Below are 20516 nucleotides of genomic sequence, written 5' to 3'. Positions count from 1 at the left end.
ATCATATGTTTAAACACACCACATCTCAACCCCTAGTAAATTGTAACATAATTCTACAATGTAGAATGTAAGCCAAGAAAGAAAAGTTCAATTTAGAAAATAAGGAAAAAGAAAAATACTGCCTCTGAAAACCTAGTCAAGGCAATTCTTGGCAGTAAACTCAGAGTTTAAATAGACTTTTTTTTTTTAAAAGGCATTCAACTTAAGATTTTAGAAAATGAACACCCCGGTCGGGTGCAGTGTCTCACGTCTGTAATCTCAGAACTTTGGGGGGCTGAGGTGGGTGGATCACCTGAGGTCAGGAGTTCGAGACCAGCCTGGGCAACATGGTAAAACCCTGTCTCTACTAAAAATACAAAAAATTAGCTGCACATGGTGATGAGCACCTGTAATCCCAGCAACCAGGGAGGCTGAAGCAGGAGAATCGCTTGAACCTGGGAAGCGGAGGTTGCAGTGAGCTGAGGTTGCACCATTGCACTCTAGCCTGGGGAACAAGAGCAAAACTCCATGTCAAAAACAAAAAAAGAAAATGAATACCCCCTCCCTCAAAAAAATCCATGGGAGAAAACAATAATATAAAAACTAAAAATATATTCATTTAGCAATTTTCTCTATGTTTTTCCTAATTTTTATGCAGTCTAGATTTCTAGTAACTGTTTTTGAGGTGGCTGGTGGGTTGTATCTTTTAGGCCTTAAACACAGATAGTTTGAAAATATCAACTCGCCTGAACTTACTGGAACAAGAGTTGTCTGAAAAGAATGTGCAGCTCCAGACCAGTACAGCTGAGGAGAAAACAAAGATTTCAGAACAAGTTGAAGTCCTCCAGAAAGAAAAGGATCAGCTCCAGAAACGCAGACACAATGTGGATGAAAAACTTAAAAATGGTAGAGTGTTATCACCTGAAGTAAGTCAGTATTCTTTGGAACTGGAGGTGCTGTATGATGGATCACTTGAGTGATTTCCTCAGTCTTTTTCACATAATCATAAATATTATCTGGTAAACTTGGTTCCTTGAGATTTTGTCAGATGTAGTGAGTTCACCTGGCACTTATTTGGCACCATAAACCACGCTGGACTAGAGACTGAGATATCCTTACATAGTGGTCCATGGACATGGCCCCTTCCTGGCACTGCCAGGCATTTGGAAACTATTACTTTCCTTGAGTATATTTGCCTCCTCAGCTGGGGTTTCTCGTCTGAAATCACAGAACATAGAAAATGATTTGAGGGACTCTTCTGGAGGGCACCTGACTTTTCTCTATACATATTTCTTGAATGATACTAGGTAATTTATTACATACAAGAGATGCCTAAGGAATTAGGGGTTAATTCTTTCCATGAAACCTTGGTTTAGAAGGCCCAGTGTCCATACTATGTCCAGCCAAATAGATGCACAAAATTCCAATCCCAGTAAAAGACCTTTTAGTTATACAGTTTTTTTAAAACTATAGTTTTAGTTATAGTTTTTTAAAACTATGTAGAAGATGATTCATTTATGGGCTGTCAAATTGCCCCAGACTTTGTCTTTTTTCAAAATTTTCAGTCAGTTGGCAGTGGTACCTTTACCTTACTTCATCAGAGAAAGATGAATTTTTGAATCTGAACTTCCTCTGCAAATATTTATTGTTGGTGTCTCATCATTACCAAACCAAGGGAAAATTGCTAAGAGAAGGTGAATAGCTGAGAATCACACACAGTGGTGAATCTTGTAATGTTTTAGTTTGGAGCAAGTGACAGGAAGTTATAGGGGCTAGTTAAGAAATAGGAGCAAGGATAACATTAGATTGTTGCTCACTGAGAATTGATGAAAGGATTGACTTACAAATCAATCCTTGATTGGGGGCTAAGTGGCAGTTGAAAGGAACATTATAGACCTCTGTTGCCCTGTTTTATAACTTAAGCTGGGTAGCTGTGCAGAGGAACAGAGAGCCAGGCTGTCCTCCCAAGGTATTAAATTGGAGCCTAAGGGTTATAGATTTGAAGACATGAGAGCCTAAGATACAGCAGAATTCAAATATTTAAGGAATTCTGCCTGCCGGTGACTATTACTAAGCTCTATAGAAGATAGAAGAAGCAAAAAAAAAAAAAAAAAACCCAAAGTATTATGTTTCCCTTGAGAAATTAATACTCTATTTGGGAAAACAGATAGAAATATAAGAAAACTCTAAACTCTGAAGGACATTGAAAATCAAGTTGTGGATAATGTATTACAGCTATACCTCTTACATTATTTATTCAAAGCAATGAAGTGATCATTTGGGGGAAGATTCATCAAGGCAGCCTCAGTAGATCAGAATCTTGAGCTAGATTATGAAAAACATGATATGCACTGGCAGATACAAGAAAGAAGTCCGTTTTAGACAGAACATCTTTGAAGAAGGCACAGAGATGAGAATTAACAAATTATGTTTGCAGTAGGGTAGAGTTCCATTAATATCAAGAAACATTTAGGTTTCTATTTCATGTGGGATCCCATAACAAAAAACGTTATTTACAGATTTGTGGTGAAAATATAGTATGGCGCATGATACCTATTTTGCGGCTATTCTGGACTGGGGTTTGAGGGAATGATGAGCCTCCTACAACTGGTAGAGTTCTACTTACTCACATGAGCTTCTATGCACCTTTCTTCCACATGGTTGGTTCTTCTTAGTGTACCTCTCAAGTGAGGCTCTGCTCTTATCACGATTTTAAAGCCAAGGTTAATATTCCAAATAGATCTGTCACTAGCAGATGATCGAGAACATGAGATTCTGATGTGACGACACAAGGTATCAATAAAATCTAGTTGGAATGGTTTGCTATCTTAATGTCTTTAAGCTTGTTTAGGATAATTTTCTCTTTCCACAGTAAATTAAAATATTTTTCCTAATTTTATTACTTTATGGAAATGGATAGAAAGATTTTAGATCGTTACACTAATAGAAGATTACCCAACAATTTACTACAGACAAGTCACACCGCTTTTTTTTTTTTTTTTTGGTAAAATCCAGAAACTAAAATTAAAGAATACCTGAACTTTAGATTTCTAATAATACAGAGTAGTTGCTTAATAAGTAGGGAGGAAAATATAAGAACTATTATGTTTATCTAATCTTTTAAACTTTTAATTTCTCATTTTATGATGAGAACATACTTTTTTTTTTTTTTTTTGAGATGGAGTCTCACTCTGTCACTCAGGGTGGAGTGCAGTGGTGCGATCTCGGCTCACTGCCTCCATCTCCTGGGTTCAAGCAATTCTCCTGCCTCAGCCTCCCCAGTAGCTGGGATTACAGATGTGCGCTACCATGCCCAGCTAATTTTTTTTTTTTTTTTTTTTTGAGACGGAGTCTTGCTCTGTCACCAGGCTGGAGTGCAGTGGCGTGATCTCAGCTCACTACAACCTCCGCCTGCCTGGTTCAAGCGATTCCCCTGCCTCAGCCACCTGAGTAGCTGGCACTGCAGGCAAGTGCCATCATGCTTGGCTAGTTTTTTGTATTTTAGTAGAGATGGGGTTTCACCATGTTGGCCAAGATGGTCTCGATCTCCTGACCTCATGATCCACCCACCTCGGCTTCCCAAAGTGCTGGGATTACAGGTGTGAGCCACTGCACCTGGCCTAATTTTTGTATTTTTAGTAGAGATGAGGTTTCGCCATGTTGGTCAGGCTGGTCTCGAACTCCTGACCTCAAGTGATCCACCCGCCTCAGCCTCCCAAAGTGCTGGGTTTACAGGCCTTGAACCACCACACCCTGCCGAGAACATAAAATTTACAGGGAAATCTCTGCAGTGCTTGCTCAAAAGTTGTTGTTAGTTTTTTGTTTCATTTTACTTGGTCTCTGGACCAGCAGCAACAGCATCACTTGGAGGCTTGTTAGAAATGCAGATCCTCAGGCCCCAAGTGGACCTGCTGGATCAGAATCTGAATTCTAGTGAGCTCCTGGGTACACATTAAAGTTGAAAAGCAGTGCTCTATCATAAAGCAGAGTCAACTCTTGATAACCTGTGGTTTGTATTGTGGCAAATTTTTCATCCCAGGATAGTTACTTACCCATTGCCACGTATCTTGTCAGCCTACACCTATTGCTGAGTTAGAGGGAACTGCAAACACTGATATGCTGCAGCCTCACTGGAGCGGGCTGTCCTTGGGTTTCTATATTCACACTACCTTATATTATCTCAGTACTTCCTTAACTTAGATCCAAAACCATAGAAACTGAATTTATACGAAATTGTCCTCAGCCATGTATAAAGGCAAACTCTTCACATTTGTTTTTGATAAAATATAGTCACAGTATAAATTCAAAAGTCAAGTACAGTAAAGTCCTCACTGAACATTGTGGATAGGTTCTTGGAAATTGTGACTTTAAGAGACACCATGTACATCAGGTCCTCAAATTACACTGTTTTCCTTCAACATAGTTGCTTTTGTTACAAAGTTAATAAGAAAAAAAATTTGTTTCGTTATGTATTGTTTCTCTTAAAGTCACAGTTTCCAAGAACCTATTGATGATAAGGACTTACTCTATATTGGATAATTCACTTTTATTTGTGGCTCCTCTTATTCATTCACCTAAGTACATTTTAGTATTTAAGGGGTTTTTTTCTTGAAAAGGTGAATATTATTTTATTCCTTATGGAGCAATTATCAAACCATCAAATTCCATATGGTTAGTGATTGCACAGAGAAATAGAATGGCTGGTGAACATTTTTCTTTAGGTAGATCAGAAATATTCACACTATTGGCCAGGCATGGTGGCTCACACCTGTAATCCCATCACTTTGGGAGGCTGAGGCAGGGAGATCACCTGAAGTCAGGAGTTCCAAGACCAGCCTGGCCAATGTGGCAAAACCCCTTCTCAACTAAAAATACAAAAATTAGCTAGGCGTGGTGGCATGCACCTGTAATCCCAGTTACTTGGGAGGCTGAGGCAGGAGAATTGCTTAAACCCAAGAGGTGGAGGTTGCAGTGAGCTGAGATCCCACCACTGCACTCCAGCCTGGATGACAAAGTGAGTGAGACCCTGTCAAAAAAAAAAAGAAAGAAATATTCATATTATTTTCCTTTGGGATGTTAGGGGAAGGAGTGGAGAGAAATAACATGGGTCCTGTAACCAAGGACACATGAAACTTTTTTCTCTTCTTTCTTCATTAAGTCAACAGATATTGAGTTCAAACTATGTGATAGGTACTGTGCTAGGCAATAAGGGTGTGCAGATGGACAAGATAGTCTGCCACAGGAACTTATCAAGGTGGCCTCCACAATAGGTATGGGTATATGGAAACATATATCCAAATCTCACCAATCTGAAGTAATTCTTTACCACAGATTTGTATCACCAACATAACATGTATTTGGATAGTTCAAAGAACTGGAAGAGCTGGGCATGGTGGCATGTGCCTGTAGTCCCAGCTACTCAGGACGGCAAGGTAGGAGGTTCGCTTGGGCCCAAGACTTTTGAGTTCAGCCTGGGCAACATAGCGAGACCCTGTGTCCAAAATAAAAAAAGAAAAGGAAAAAGAGAACTTGTAGGTTTTCCTACAGGGATTCATCGATCTTCTCTAGTATGTGAAAAAATACTACGTTGCCCTATTTTTAACACCTACATTTTCCTTCTAATAACATTTCATAGGAATCTTATGAAATATTTCAGATACTTAAATCCTCACTACTTTTTTATGCCATATTGTGCTTTTTTATTACTAGTTCTTAATAACTTATTCTAACATTTAGAATAAGTTATTCCCTCTAGGCAGTATATTGTTTTGATAGATCACTGAAGGGACAACAGTGAGTCTCTAGATCTCACTAGTGGAAATATTGACACACAATATGCACTTTAGGGGTTATGGAGGAGATATATGACAATACTGCTAATCCTGTGGGCTTAGGCTTTGTTCAAGTATATTCCGTGGATTAGATGATCAGCATTTGTTGTATAACCTTGGAACATTTCAGAACTCCCCTAAACTTCTGTCTTTTCCATTTTACTCCATCAGGTTTATTGTGACGGCTTAATGATTATGTTAATATGTTGTGTGTGTGTGTTTATGTGTGTGTATACACACATGTATACACACACTGCATTATGTGGCATAGCAAGCGCTCAAAAAACATTTTCTTAAAATCTAGTACAAGAGTGGTAATATCCATTAGACTCAAATAGCTTAGGAGGATCTGAGTATATGACAAAGTCAAAGTTATACTATTTCATTTAAAATGAGTGATTTCTGTTATATCTAGGAAGAACATGTTCTTTTCCAACTTGAAGAAGGGATTGAAGCTTTGGAAGCTGCAATTGAATACAGGAATGAAAGTATCCAGAATCGCCAGAAGTCACTTAGAGCATCATTCCATAACCTCTCTCGTGGTGAAGCAAATGTCTTGGAAAAGCTAGCTTGCCTGAGTCCTGTTGAGATTAGAACTATTCTTTTCAGATATTTCAATAAGGTTTGTTTTTGAGGGTCAGAATATTTTTCTTATAAAGATGGGTCAAGATGCTTACATCCTATATTTATTTTGAATTTTTAAAGAAATTGAAAGGCTTAAAGATTTGATGATGTAACTACAAATTTAAGCATGATTTCTCTTTATAGAACTAAATGTTGTCATCTGAAAGCTTTGTGATTATCCAAAGATGTAGGCCTAACTTTGTGAGGTTCTTAAAGTTGGAGGGCCTTTCAAAAGAAGTCCTTTTTGAAAGTTTTTAAAACCAAAGAATTTAAGTTATATTCCTTGCTCATTATTTCTTGGATGTTTTCTAGATTTGGATGTTCTACCTGGCACTCATGAAAAATCAAGGGCCCTCCAAGTTTTGATTCCCTTTCCTTCATTGCTGCAGGGTAGGGGAATCTGTACTTTCTCATCATGTATGAGTTGAAATGAAGATGAAGTGGTGTATCAGTGGCAAAGATAATAGTAGATTTTATTAACCTGAATGTGCTTAAATCAATTAAAATGTATTTTTTACAGATTAGACAATTTACTGATCCAGAGATGTTTCATAGCATTGAGAACTATATCTGTCTTTTCTCTAATGTCTTTTCCACTTAAGTTATATATTACGAAGTGTTAAACAATGAGATAAGTCTTCTCTGAAAAGTACATTCAATTTATGGGAATATCAGACAATTAATGAAAAATAAAACACTGATATTTTAAAATAAAGTCCTAAGGCCAGGTGCAGTGGCTCATGCCTGTAATCCCAGCACTTTGGGAGGCTGAGTCAAGAGAATCACTTGAGCCCAGAATTTGAGATCCTTTCTCTACAAAAAATACCAAAATTAGCCGGGTATGGTAGCATACACCTGTAGTCCCAGATACTTGGGAGGCTGAGGCAGGAGGATCACATGAGCCCAGGAATTTGAGTTTGTAGTGAGCTATGATCACTACTGCACTTCAGTCTGGGGCAACAGAACAACAGCCTGTCTCAAAAAAATTAAATAAAATTATAATTCTGTGAAATAAGATAAATGAAAATGTTATGCACAGCCTCCTCTTGGATAATCATCATCAGTAGTAAGCTACTGTTATTGTTATTGATGAGAGTGCATCCTATTGCTGCATGTTTGGAGGGTAGAAAGATAGTGGAGTGCTTTGACATAGATAACTTTTTTTTTTTTTTTTGAGACAGAGTCTCGCTCTGTCGCCCAGGCTGGAGTGCAGTGGCGTGATCTCGGCTCAGTGCAAGCTCTGCCTCCCAGGTTCACGCCATTCTCCTGCCTCAGCCTCCTGAGTAGCTGGGACTACAAATGCCCGCCACCACACCTGGCTAATTTTTTTTGTATTTTTTTTTTAGTAGAGACGGGGTTTTACCATGTTAGACAGGGATGGTCTCGATCTCCTGACCTCATGATCCGCCTGCCTCGGCCTCCCAAAGTGCTGGGATTACAGGCGTGAGCCACCGCGCCCAGGCTGATAGAGATAACTCTTTATGCTGTTCTTTTATTTTTTTTTTCCCTGAGATGGACTCTCACTCTGTTGTCCAGACTGGTGTGATCTCAGCTCACTGCAACCTCCGCCCCCCGGGTTCAAGCAATTCTCCTGCCTCAGCCTCCTGAGTAGCTAGGATCACAGGCGTGTGCTGCCATGCCCAGCTCATTTTTGTATTTTTAGTAGAGATGGGGTTTCACCATGTTGGCCAGGCTGGTCTCAAACTCCTGACCTCGTGATCCTCCCGCCTCGGCCTCCCAAAGTGCTGGGATTACAGGTGTGAGCCACGGTGCCTGGCCCTTGTGCTACTCTTAAAGCAAGGCAACCTGGCTAAGGTCAGTGGATTTTCTGATCCTGGGAACCCTTGTATTAATGATTATTTTTCTGGAGAGGTCATTAGATTATTAACAAGTTCTGTGATATAGACATTGTCTGAAGTATTTTTACTTCACATCAGCAGGGAAGAATCCAGTAGACAAAATGCATAACATGGCTGGGTGTGGTGGCTCACGCCTATAATCCCAGTGCTTTGGGACACCAAGGCAGTAGGATCACTTGAGGCCAGGAATTCAAGACCAGCTTGGGCAACATAGTGAGACCGTCTCTACGAAAATATTTTTTAAAAAACTTAGCCAGGCATGATGGCATGTACCTGTGGTCCCAGCTATGTGGGAGGCTGAGGTGGGAGGATCACTTGATCTCAGGAGTTGGAAGCTGCAGTGAACTATGATTGCACCACTGCACTCCAACCTGAGGTGACAGAGTGAGACTCCATCTTAACAATAACAACAACAACAACAAAACACCCAAACTGTCACTTATTTATAACATCCATTCTGGAGTTAAAACTTGGAATTGTCTAGATGTTTCAAGAATCTTTGCCCTCTCACTATCCACTTAGACTAGAGAAATAAAGTTACAGAATTATTAAATGTAAACTGCATAGATTACATTTAAGAAATTATGGAAGGGTGATTATTAGAGCAACAGTATATTAAAAATGAAAGTGTCGGCTGGGCGTGGTGGCTCACGCCTGTAATCCCAGCACTTTGGGAGGCTGAGGCAGGAAGATCACGAGGTCAGGAGATTGAGACCATCCTAGCTAACACGGTGAAACCCCATCTGTACTAAAATACAAAAAATTAGCTGGGCGTGGTGGCGGGCGCCTGTAGTCCCAGCTACTTGGGAGGCTGAGGCAGGAGAATGGCATGAACCCGGGAGGCGGAGCTTGCAGTGAGCCGAGATTGCACCACTGCACTCCAGCTTGGATGACAGAGCGAGACTCCTCAAAAAAAAAAAAAAAAAAAAAAAAAAAAGAAAATGTCATCAATTCAGAATTCCAACAAATTAATTCTTTTTTTTTGAGACAGAGTTTTGCTCTTGCACCCAGGCTGGAGTGCAATGGGGCGATCTTGGCTCCACTGCAGACTCCGCCTCCCAGGTTCAAGCCATTCTCCTGCTTCAGCCTCCCAAGTAGCTGGGATTACAGGCGTGCACCACCACACCCAGCTAATTTTATATATTTTTTAGTAGAGACGGGGTTTTACTATGTTGGTCAGGTTGGTCTCGAACTCCTCACCTCAAGCGATCCCCCCCACCTCAGCCTCCCAAACTGCTGGGACTACAGGCGTGAGCCACTGTGCCTGGCCTGAACTCCAACAAATTCAAAAGGCTGTTAGGTTGTTTTGTGAATATGTTACAAAGCATTTGCCTAAGGACCCAATACCTGGCAGGAATCATTTACACTATGGAGATTAAGGAAGTTCATCTTGAAGTAGCCTAAGAAAAGTAGATTATTATATTAGCTTATCTAAGACACACTTAACAGGTCAAAATATGTATTTGTTAGGTGGTGAATTTGCGAGAAGCTGAACGGAAACAACAGTTATATAATGAAGAAATGAAAATGAAAGTTCTGGAACGGGATAATATGGTTCGTGAATTAGAATCTGCACTGGACCATCTAAAATTGCAGTGTGACCGGAGACTGACCCTCCAGCAAAAGGAACACGAACAAAAGATGCAGTTGCTATTACATCATTTCAAAGGTAACTTCCCCTTTTGACAGTTATGTAAGGTTGATGTGTAGGTGTGGGTACTGAAGGAAGATAGGACAGAATTTGATCACTTAAAAGGTCAACATGTTTAAATAGTTGCTACTTAGACAAGTTTTTGGGCTTTACATGTTTTGGTTGCCGCATTTTGGGACAGTTGACTTTGTTGTAGGGCTATTCGTGCTTGGAATGCCATCCCTTCTGCCTGCCTCCAGTATGCACATAAGAACTGCTACAATCCTGTCAGCTTGTTGTTGGTCTAGTTTTTATGTAGAAATGTGGGATTGATTCAGGCTTTTTGGTATACAGTTGAATTTTTTTTTATTTCTCAGGGATATAATACTATCATATTTAAGTTATTTTCCACTCACAAAATTAAAGTGATAGGTTCTGTCATATTCCTAGTTATATTTCTGGTTATAATTGTCAGTTGATTATAAAATTTTATGCATTAAAGTAATATCTTGGGTCAAAATTATACTGCCATTGATGGGCACATACCATTATCCGTGAGCAGTAGTTCACCACCAACTCTGATAGAAAACTCTTGAGAGTGATCTGGCCTCATTTTACCTAGGCATATGGCCAGTATACAAACAGCTACTATGGCAGCAAAATCATTGTTAGGTGATACTGTTACTCCTTCAATTCAGGCTGCTTAGTCTTGATTCTCATGAATCCATAGCTGAAAGTAGATCAAAAGGGATCTGGAAGAAGCAACCTGAGTAAGCAGAAAATTGGAAAAATCTGTGAATTTGAGTGTTGAGGCAATTTGCTTCTAAGTTAATTCTGTCACTGGTTAATTAGCAACCAGTTGCCTAATGACAATTTCCTGGCAAGATCTCACACATCATTACATTCAAACATGCTCTCCTTACCTTAGTTTAGTTCTGAAACTGATATTTTAATATTTTTTAAAGTGAGTGGGATTATACCACAAAAGTTCATGCTATAGCCAAATAAGAATATATAAAAACTTGGCCAAACATGGTGGCTCATCCCTGTAATCCCAGCACTTTGGGAGGCTGAGTCAAGAGGATTGCTTGAGCCCAGAAGTTCGAGACCAGCCTGGATAACATGGCGAAACCCCATCTCTACAAAAAATACAGAAAACTAGCCAAGCGTGGTGGCACACACCTGTAGTCCCAGCTACTTGGGAGGCTGAGATGGGAGGATCACCTGAGTCCCAGAGGTTGAGCCTGCAGTGGCTGTGGTCACACCACTGCACTCCAGCCTGGGTGACAGAGTTAAGACCCTGTCTCAAAAAAAAAAAAAGTAAAAAAGTCATTCATTTCTATAGCTGTACAAATTGTTCATAACAAAGTTGTGGCTGGGTGCAGTGGCTCATGCCTATAATCCCAGCATTCTGGAAGGTTGTGGTGGGAGGCTTACTTGAAAGCAGCCTGGGCAGCATAGTGGGACCCCATCTGTATTAATCAAGGATCTCTAAAGGGACAGAATAGCATATATATATCATATATGCATATATGCATATATTCATATAGCATATATGATATATATAGATCTATATATAGATATAGATATATGTATATACATAGATATATATGTATATATGCATATATAGCTATATATAGATATATACATATCTATATGTATATATACATATAGATATAGATATATACATATAGCATATATGATATATAGATATATACATATATATCATATATGCATATATAGCATATATGATATATAGATATATGTAGATATATGTAGATATATATAGATACATAGATATATATAGATATATAGATATATGATATATCATATATATCATATCTGATATATCATATATATCATATCTGATATATCATATATATCATATCTGATATATCATATATATCATATCTGATATATCATATATATCATATCTGATATATCATATATATCATATATGATATATCAGATATATCATATATGATATATCAGATATATCATATATGAGATATCAGATATATCAGATATGAGATATCATATATATCATATATATGATATATCATATATCATATATATGATATATAGATATATGTAGATATATATAGATATAGATATAGCATATATGATATATAGATATATAAAATATATAGGATATATAAAATATACAGGATTTATATTATATAAATATATATATAAACATAAAGGGGAGTTTATTAAGTATTGACTTACATGATCACAAGGTCCCACAATAGGCTGTCTGCAAGCTTGAGGAGCAAGGAAGCCAGTCCGAGTCTCAAAACTAAAGAACTTGGAGTCTGATGTTCGAGGACAGGAAGCATTCAGCATGGGAGAAAGATGCAGGCTGGGAGGCTAGGCCAGTCTCACCTTCTTATGTTTTTCTGCCTGCTTTATATTCATTGGCAGCTTATTAGATGGCGCACCAGATTGAGGTTGGATCTGCCTTCCCCAGCCCACTGACTCAAATGTTAACCTCCTTTGGCAACACCCTCACAGACACACCCAGGATCAATACTTTGCATCCTTCAATCCAGTCGACACTCGGTATTTACCATCACAAGTCCATCCCTTGTCAGTTTGAGCTCATACACATCTCCTGAGATCATACATAATCTTCAAATAAAGACAATAATAAGGTTATAATTACACCTCACATAATACAACTATCCTTCATACAACCGGAAATGCACCAATCCCCAACCCAAATGCTATTACATAAAGTTAACAGTACTTAAATGCTGATGTGAAGTCAATAAATCTTATGTCACATGATAAAGGAAAAAGGAAATAAAATGAAGATATTTTCTTAGTACAAGTGTATATGTGCACAAACATGTTTTTAACAAAATAAGGAGGAACTATGACAGTTACAGTCCTCGTTTCTGCGGCTGGTCACATGGTCGTAGCTGGTATTGATGACCACCTTCTTCTGCTACCCATTCTGTATTCCCTTTGCCTTTAGCAAGCAGCTCAGCAGGTTGTGGGTTTTCTTCCTAGTAGAGTGACCCAACCCTTCATTCCTGAAGGGTCTGGACCATTTTTAGTTGTGACTGGATTGGGCTGTTGTAGTTTCCAGTTGACCTTAATCACAGAGCATGGTAATACTAAGCGACGCCCTAATGGATCTCCTGTATTTCTTGCATACTCTTCCTTACCTCTGTTATGAAGTAGTAGACTGATTTCATCTTGATAGTCCAGGTCAGTCACCCCAGCCAACACTGTAACTCCCTTCGTAGCCTGCTGACTTAACGGTAGGTGGAGCCCAAAGTGTCCAGGTGGCAATCTTAACTTTCAGTTTAATGGAATCATTGTTGTGTCTCCTGGTGGCAGTGTTTCTTCCTCTGAAACAAAGACCTCTAGGCCAGCAGAACATAATATTGCGGGAACAGGAAGCAAAAATGTTGCTAATGGATCACTAGGGGTGATGGTGGGTGGTGCCACTTCCACTTCCACCCCTTGGTCCCTGGACTCGTGAATCCTGGCTATGGAAGAAACAGTACCATATACTGGATGCTGATGCAGAGCATACACAGTCTTCTGGAGAACTTTGTCCCAGCCCTGCAAAGTATTGTCATGTAATTGGCATTGTAATTGTGACTTCAAAAGGCCATTCCACCGTTCCATCAATCTAGCTGCTTCAGGATGATGGGGACCTTCATCCCATGAATGACCAGTGAATCCCATGAGCATGAGCCCACTGCCACACTTCTTTAGCCATAAAGTGAGTAACTTGGTCAGAGGTGATGCTGTGTGGAATACCATGACAGTGGATAAGGCACTCTGTGAGTCCATGGATGGTAATCTTGGCAGAAGCATTGCGTGCAGGATAGGCAAACCCACATCCGGAGTAAGTGTCTATTCCAGTGAGGACAAACCTCTGCCCTTTCTGTCATGGAAGAGGTCCAATATAATCAACCTGCCACCAGGTAGCTCGCTGATCACCCTGAGGAATGGTGCCATATTGAGGGCTCAGTGTTGGTCTCTGCTGCTGGCAAACTGGGCACTCAGCAGTGGCCGTAGCCAGGTCAGCCTTGGTGAGTGGAAGTCCATGTTGCTGAGCCCACATCCCTGCCACCATGGCCACTTTGTTCATGGGCCCATTGGGCAATGACAGGGGTGGCTGGGGAAAGAGGCTGAGTGGTATCCACAGACTGGGTTATCATATCCACTTGATTATTAAAATCCTCCTCTGCTGAGGTCATCCGTTGGTGAGCACTCACTTGGGATACAAATATCTTCACAGTTTTTGACTACTCAGAGAGGTCCATCCACATACCTCTTCCCCAAAATTCTTTGTCACCAGTTTTCCAATCATGCTTCTTCCAAGTCCCTGACCATCCAGCCAAACCACTGGCTACAGCCCATGAATTGGTATATAACCGCATATCTGGCCATTTCTCCTTCCATGCAAAGTGCACAACCAGGTGCACTGTTCAAAGTTCTGCCCACTGGGAAGATTTTCCTTCACTGGTATCCTTCAGGGATGTCCTAGAAAGGGGCTGTAGTGCCACAGCTGTCCACTTTCAGGTGGTGCCTGCATATCGTGCAGAACCATCTGTGAACCAGGCCCTAGTCTTCTCTTCCCCTGTCAGCTGATCATAGGGAACTCCCCATGAGGCCATCGGTGCAGGCTGGAGGAGAGAAGGCAGGGTGGCGAGTGGAGACCATGGGCATTTGTGCCACTTCCTCATGTAACTTATGCCTTCAGGACCTGCTTGAGCCTGATCACATATATAGCATTTCCATTTGATGATGGAATGCTGCTGTGCACGACCCACTTTATAGCTAGATAGGTCAGAAAGCACCCAGTTCATGATAGGCAGTTCAGGTCGCATGGTGACTTGATGACCCATAGTCAAACGTTCAGTTTCCACCAAAGCCCAGTAACAGGCCAAGAGCTGTCTCTTAAAAGGAGAGTAGTTAGCTGCAGAAGATGGCGGGGCCTTGCTCCAAAATTCTAGAGGCCTCCACTGTGATTCACTTATGGGGGGCCTGGGAGAGGCTCCAAACAGCATCCCTATCTGCCACTGACACCTCAAGCACCATTGGATCTGCTGGGTCATATGGCCCAAGTGGCAGAGCAGCTTGCACAGCATCCTGGACCTATTGCAGAGCCTTCTCCTGTTGTGGACCCCATTCAAAACTGGCAGCCTTTCAGGTCACTCAATAAATGGGCCAGAGTAACACACCCAAATGAGGAATGTGCTGCCTTCAAAATCCAGATAGGCCCACTAGGCATTGTGCCTCTTTCTTGGTTGTAGGAAGGGCCGAATGTAGCAACTTATCCTTCACCTTAGAAGGAATATTTCGACAGGCCCCACACCACTGGACCCCTAGAAATTTTACTGAGGTAGAAGAGTTCATCATTTTCTTTCATCACTTTGTCCACTGAACTTAGGAGCAACCAACCAGCTTCATTATGTTCCTTGGTTCTCCACATATGGTCAAATTTATTACACAGAGTCACTAAACTCCTTGCCTCTCATGAGCAGTGAATCAGGAGTGTCAAATGCATTTATTTTGCATAATTCTGTAAACAGTTCATGTCAAGGACTATCAGTGTTCTCCATACTATTAGGAGTAGAGTCCTTAGCATTTTTGGGTCTAATCAGATTAAGCAGCCAACTCCAGAAACCCCAAAACCAACAAAAGAACTCCATCCTTAATATTCTGTTCCTTTAGAGCCACTCCTGGTACCAAAACCTGTATTAGGGTTCTCTAGAGGGATAGAACTAATAGGAGATATATAGATATAGATATAGATATAGATATCTATATAAATATATATAGCTATCTATATATCTATATCTCTCTCTATATATATAAAGGGGAGTTTATTATTAACTTACACAATCACAAGGTCCCACAGTAGGCTGTCTGCAAGCTTGAGGAGCAAGGAGAGCCAGTCTGAGTCTCGAAACTGAAGAGCTTGGGGTCTGATGTTCGAGGACAGGAAGCATCCAGCATGGGAGAAAGATGTAGGCTGGGAGGCTAGGTCAGTCTCGCCTTTTTCTGCCTGCTTCATATTCGCTGGCAGCTGATGAGATGGTTCTCACCAGATTAAGAGTGGGTGTGCCTTCCCCAGCCCACTGACTCAAATGTTAACCTCCTTTGGCAACACTTTCACAGACACACTCAATACTTGGCATCAATACTTGGCATCTTTCAGTCCAAACAAGTTGACACTCAGTAGTAACCATCACACCATCTCTACCAAAAATTTAAAAAATTAAGCCAGGCATGGTGGCATGTGCCTGTGGTCCCAGCTACCCCGGAGGCTAAGGTGGGAAGATTATTTGAACCCAGGAGGTTGAAGCTGTAGTAAGCCATGATTGCACCACTACACACTCTACCCTGGGCAACAGGGTGAGATGCTGTCTCAAAAATAATAGTAATAGAAAATCAAATAAAAACAAAGTTATAACTGACAATGTAAACAATTCATGAATTTTCTAATTTCAACTGAATATCGGACATAAAATTAAGTTGATTAATATGACATACTTTATGGGGATTCTGATTTATGATCTCATTAATTTTAAGTATTTTTTAAAACAAGATGATGGACTAATTTAAAATATACAAATATACTTAAACAAAATTCTACAAAACAGCCAATTGTAACCAAAGAAAATCACAAACCAGTAGGATCATTTTATAAATATGCCAGTAGGGGAGAGTAGGTCTGAAATTATGTTTTTTCTGAAGGTTAGTAAACTGGATTTCACTGGTTCAAGAGCATAACCCAATGGAGACAATGTTAGACATTCATAAATATTAATGAAAATATTAATAAAGTTTCTAAACTTTATTACCTGTAAACTTAAAGTTTAGAAACTTTAAGTTATATTGTGGCATAAACTAGAACTTTATGCTGGATTATATTCCCTCTTCTTTTTCTGTGGTGTTTTCCTTTGTGATTTAGTCTTTATGGCCTCTTTTAACAGGTTTTGGTTTTTGTGGGGGTTTTGGCTGTATATTTCTTGGGCCTATAAATCCTAGTCATGTGACTTTTTATATAACCACAGTTCCTGATATAAACTTTACAGAAGATACTAAAGCAGCCAATGAACAGAGTTCCAAACTTGAACTTTTTATAGAAAACACCTTATTTCTGGTGTTCTAAGGATAGGTCTAGTTGGTAGCTACTGCAAAAAAATTCTTATGAAAGTGTGAGGGTTGGTAGGGGGTAGGATGGAGGTGACTAAGGGCTCTCAATCCTACTTTGGGAAATTTTACAGGCAGAAAAATCCAAATGGTAGCTGAAAACAAACCCATTCAGGTAACAGATATGTGTAACATGCTTCTTATCCTTTAAATATAGTCCAGGGCCTATGTTAAAACATAATTTTGCAGCCGGGCACGGTGGCTCATGTCTGTAATCCCAGCACTTTGGGAGGCCGAGGCGGGCGGATCACGAGGTCAGGAGATCGAGACCATCCTGGCTAACATGATGAAACCCCATCTCTACTAAAAATACAAAAAAATTAGCCGGGCGTGGTGCCAGGCACCTGTAGTCCCAGCTGCTTGGGAGGCGGAGGCAGGAGAATGGTGTGAACCTGGGAGGCGGAGCTTACAGTGAGCCGAGCATATCACGCCACTGCACTCTAGCCTGGGCGACAGTGCGAGACTCCGTCTCAAAAAAAACAAACAAACAAAAACATAATTTTGCATCATTTATTTAAAACTGATTTTAAATGCAAATTTTTGTTGTATAGAACAAGATGGAGAAGGCATTATGGAAACTTTCAAAACATATGAAGATAAAATCCAGCAGTTGGAAAAAGATCTTTATTTCTATAAGAAAACCAGCCGGGATCATAAGAAGAAACTTAAGGAACTGGTAGGGGAAGCAATTCGGCGGCAACTAGCACCATCAGAGTGTAAGACTTTTAGTGTTGTCACTCTTAACACTGTTTCTCTAGCATTTGGTGAAGTCATGCCAGCTTTGTAGTGTAGCCTTTACCAATTGACTGGGTTATTTAGGATTAGATACTTCTATTTGTCTCTGTAAACAAAAATCGTTGTCTAAAGTAGAACCACATGAGAAGTGAATGAACAAATTTATAGATGCAAAGGAAATGATCAATTATTGATTGTCTGCCATGTGCCAGGGGCTTGTAGACCTTATCTCATTTAATCCCTAAATTAACTATATTATCTAACATAGCTGTTGTTTTCCTATTTTATAGTAAATTAAGCCTTCTGATTATCACAAAAAAAGATGTATGGTAGGTAAGAGTAAAAGTTTGTATTTTTAAGATAAATCAGGTATTTTTATATATCATGAACCCTGGAAATTAAAAAATGTAATAGAACCTATTTTTGAGACAAAGATGTTTCCTTGTATAATCATATGTAGATATGTAGATTTAGTGCATTCCTAAATGAAATAACATGACAAAATATACTTTGCAAAAATAAAAAATACTATGAAGGTAATATATTCCTATGATTAAAATATACCCTCTTTAAGATAGCTGAATAGAGAGGAATCAATATTTCTAAAATAATAAAGTCTACATTTTATAAAAGAATTAGCTGATAATTTCTAATAATTCTAATAACTTCGATAATTTAAGTATGGTTTATGAAAAGTTGACTTTAAAATCTTTTAGGCACACATGTATTTTTTACCTGGAAAGAAAACTACTTAAAGATGGGCACACAAGATGTAAGAAGACCAGTGAAAAATAATATGGAGGAGCAATGAAGTGATATATGCTGAAAATGTAATAGAAGTAGAATTGGCTAGGTGCGGTGGCTCATGCCTGTAATCCCAGCACTTTGGGAGGCCAAGGCGGGTGGATCACCGGAGGTTAGGAGTTCGAGACCAACCTGACCAACATGGTGAAACCCCGTCTCTATTAAAAAATACAAAATTAGCCAGGTGTGATGGTGCATGCCTGTAATCCCAGCTACTCAGGAGGCTGAGGCAGGAGAATCGCTTGAACCCGGGAGGCGGAGGTTGCAGTGAGCTGAGATCACGACATTGCACCCCGACCTGGGCAACAAGAGCGAAACTCTGTCTCAAAAAAAAAAAAATGCTAACTTATATTTGTGACATTTATCATGTATAGACATTTTCAAGAATAATTCCCTTTAGCCCTCAAACTCAGGATAGGCTGGGGTCTGCTAACTCCATTTTCAGATGAGGCAACTGACGCTTAGAGAAGGCAAGTGACTTAAGGACAGAACAGTAACTATAACACAGTCTAATGTCCCTCATCTTCTGACTGCTGGTTCAGTATTCCAAGATAAAAGTTGCCTGAGGATAAAGACGTGATACAAACATACGAATCCTGCCAAAGAGATTACACTTTCTGATTCTCAGTATAGTAATACAGAGGTGTTTACTGATGTAACTCATTTACTTGAAATACTGTCTGCTATATATAGCTAAAACTTTAACTTGAAACATTACTTGCCAAAAATTAAAAAGTAAACAAGTATCAAGTAAGAAACAAAATAGTCAACATAAGACCACTTTAGCTTTGAAAAAAAGTCTACTGTCAAATTTGAGGTATCTGATATTAGACATCTAGTTTGTAAATGGCCCATGTTTATGCCACCGAGTCTACTAGACATTTCTTTAAAATGACAATGTAGTATGGTGGTATACAGGTTTAAGAAATCTGGATCTTCATCCTGCTCTTTAACCAAACAAACAGACAAATCTAAAACATAGTTAATCTTGGAGAGGTGTAAAATGAGAACAACACTGTTCTGACCAGTTTACCCAAGGAGTCTAGTCTTGATAATAACGTTGGAGATACTATTTCAGCTAATTTGCTATTCTACCTAGAAACATTTAAAATGCTTCTATTTTTGGCTATAAAAATAATGTATAGTCATTATAGAAAAATCTGAAAATGAAGAAAACAAATCAGTTATAATCCTACCCACATTTGAGCATAATTCTTTTCATATTTTGCCCATGCTTTAAAATATACAGTTGCAATTATATTGGGGATATAGTTTACACTATATCCTGTCTCATAATGCTACTCTAATATAATGACATGAAACAAGGTTTGTTTGAATTATAAAATATAGCAATTTATATCAAACTCTGAGTTTCATAAAATGTTTTACATGCTTAATAATCAGTATCCTAGTTAATAACTATCTTGGTATTTGCTGCAGTGTTTTTTCTGTTTGTTTGTTTTTTGTTTTTGAATGGAGTTTCACTCTTGTTACCCAGGCTGGAGTGCAGTGGTGCTATCTCAGCTCACTGCAGCCTCCACCTCCCAGGTTCAAACGATTCTCCTACCTCAGCCTACTCAGTAGCTGGGATTACAGGCGCCACCATCAGGCCCGGCTAATTTTTTGTATTTTTAGTAGAGACCATGTCGGCCAGGCTGGTCTCAAACTCCTGACCTCAGGTGATCCACCAGCCTTGGCCTCCCAAAGTGCTGGAATTACAGGCGTGAGCCACCGTGCCCGGTGGTTCAGTGGGTTTTGATAGAAGACTGCCTACAAGAATTATATTTTCTTTGAATATTTTTGGCATTTTCAAATTGCAGAAAAATTCATCTTTTGACTAAAATATCTTGGTCACTTGATGGTCCTCCC

The 20516-nt window shown here is 39.5% G+C and overlaps 1 protein-coding gene and 1 long non-coding RNA gene across 34 annotated transcripts in view; one reads left to right on the top strand and one right to left on the bottom strand.

The window, feature by feature from the left end:
• KIF27 (kinesin family member 27) overlaps window positions 1-20516 on the top strand; it is an 87334-nt gene that overhangs the window by 61372 nt on the left and 5446 nt on the right. For 24 of the 32 annotated variants that reach the window (NM_001271927.3, NM_001271928.3, NM_017576.4 and 21 more), the window contains 4 exons: window positions 690-905; window positions 6226-6432; window positions 9764-9962; window positions 17660-17824. In NM_001271927.3, coding sequence (NP_001258856.1) covers window positions 690-905; window positions 6226-6432; window positions 9764-9962; window positions 17660-17824 — 787 coding nt within the window. The other 8 variants (NM_001354071.2, XM_047423578.1, NM_001354069.2 and 5 more) reach the window with 3 other exon arrangements.
• On the bottom strand, window positions 901-12195 carry LOC124900638 (uncharacterized). 2 transcript variants are annotated; one of them, XR_007061620.1, is made up of 3 exons: window positions 12153-12195; window positions 10470-10689; window positions 901-1197 (listed from the first exon to the last, which is right to left on the bottom strand). It is a non-coding gene; the product is annotated as an uncharacterized LOC124900638 (long non-coding RNA). The 2 variants fall into 2 exon arrangements; XR_007061621.1 differs by lacking the exon at window positions 12153-12195 and adding an exon at window positions 11106-11227.

Source organism: Homo sapiens, chromosome 9, assembly GCF_000001405.40.
Source record: "Homo sapiens chromosome 9, GRCh38.p14 Primary Assembly".
NCBI classification, from domain to species: domain Eukaryota; kingdom Metazoa; phylum Chordata; class Mammalia; order Primates; family Hominidae; genus Homo; species Homo sapiens.
This window is presented reverse-complemented; position numbering and strand designations above follow the sequence as displayed.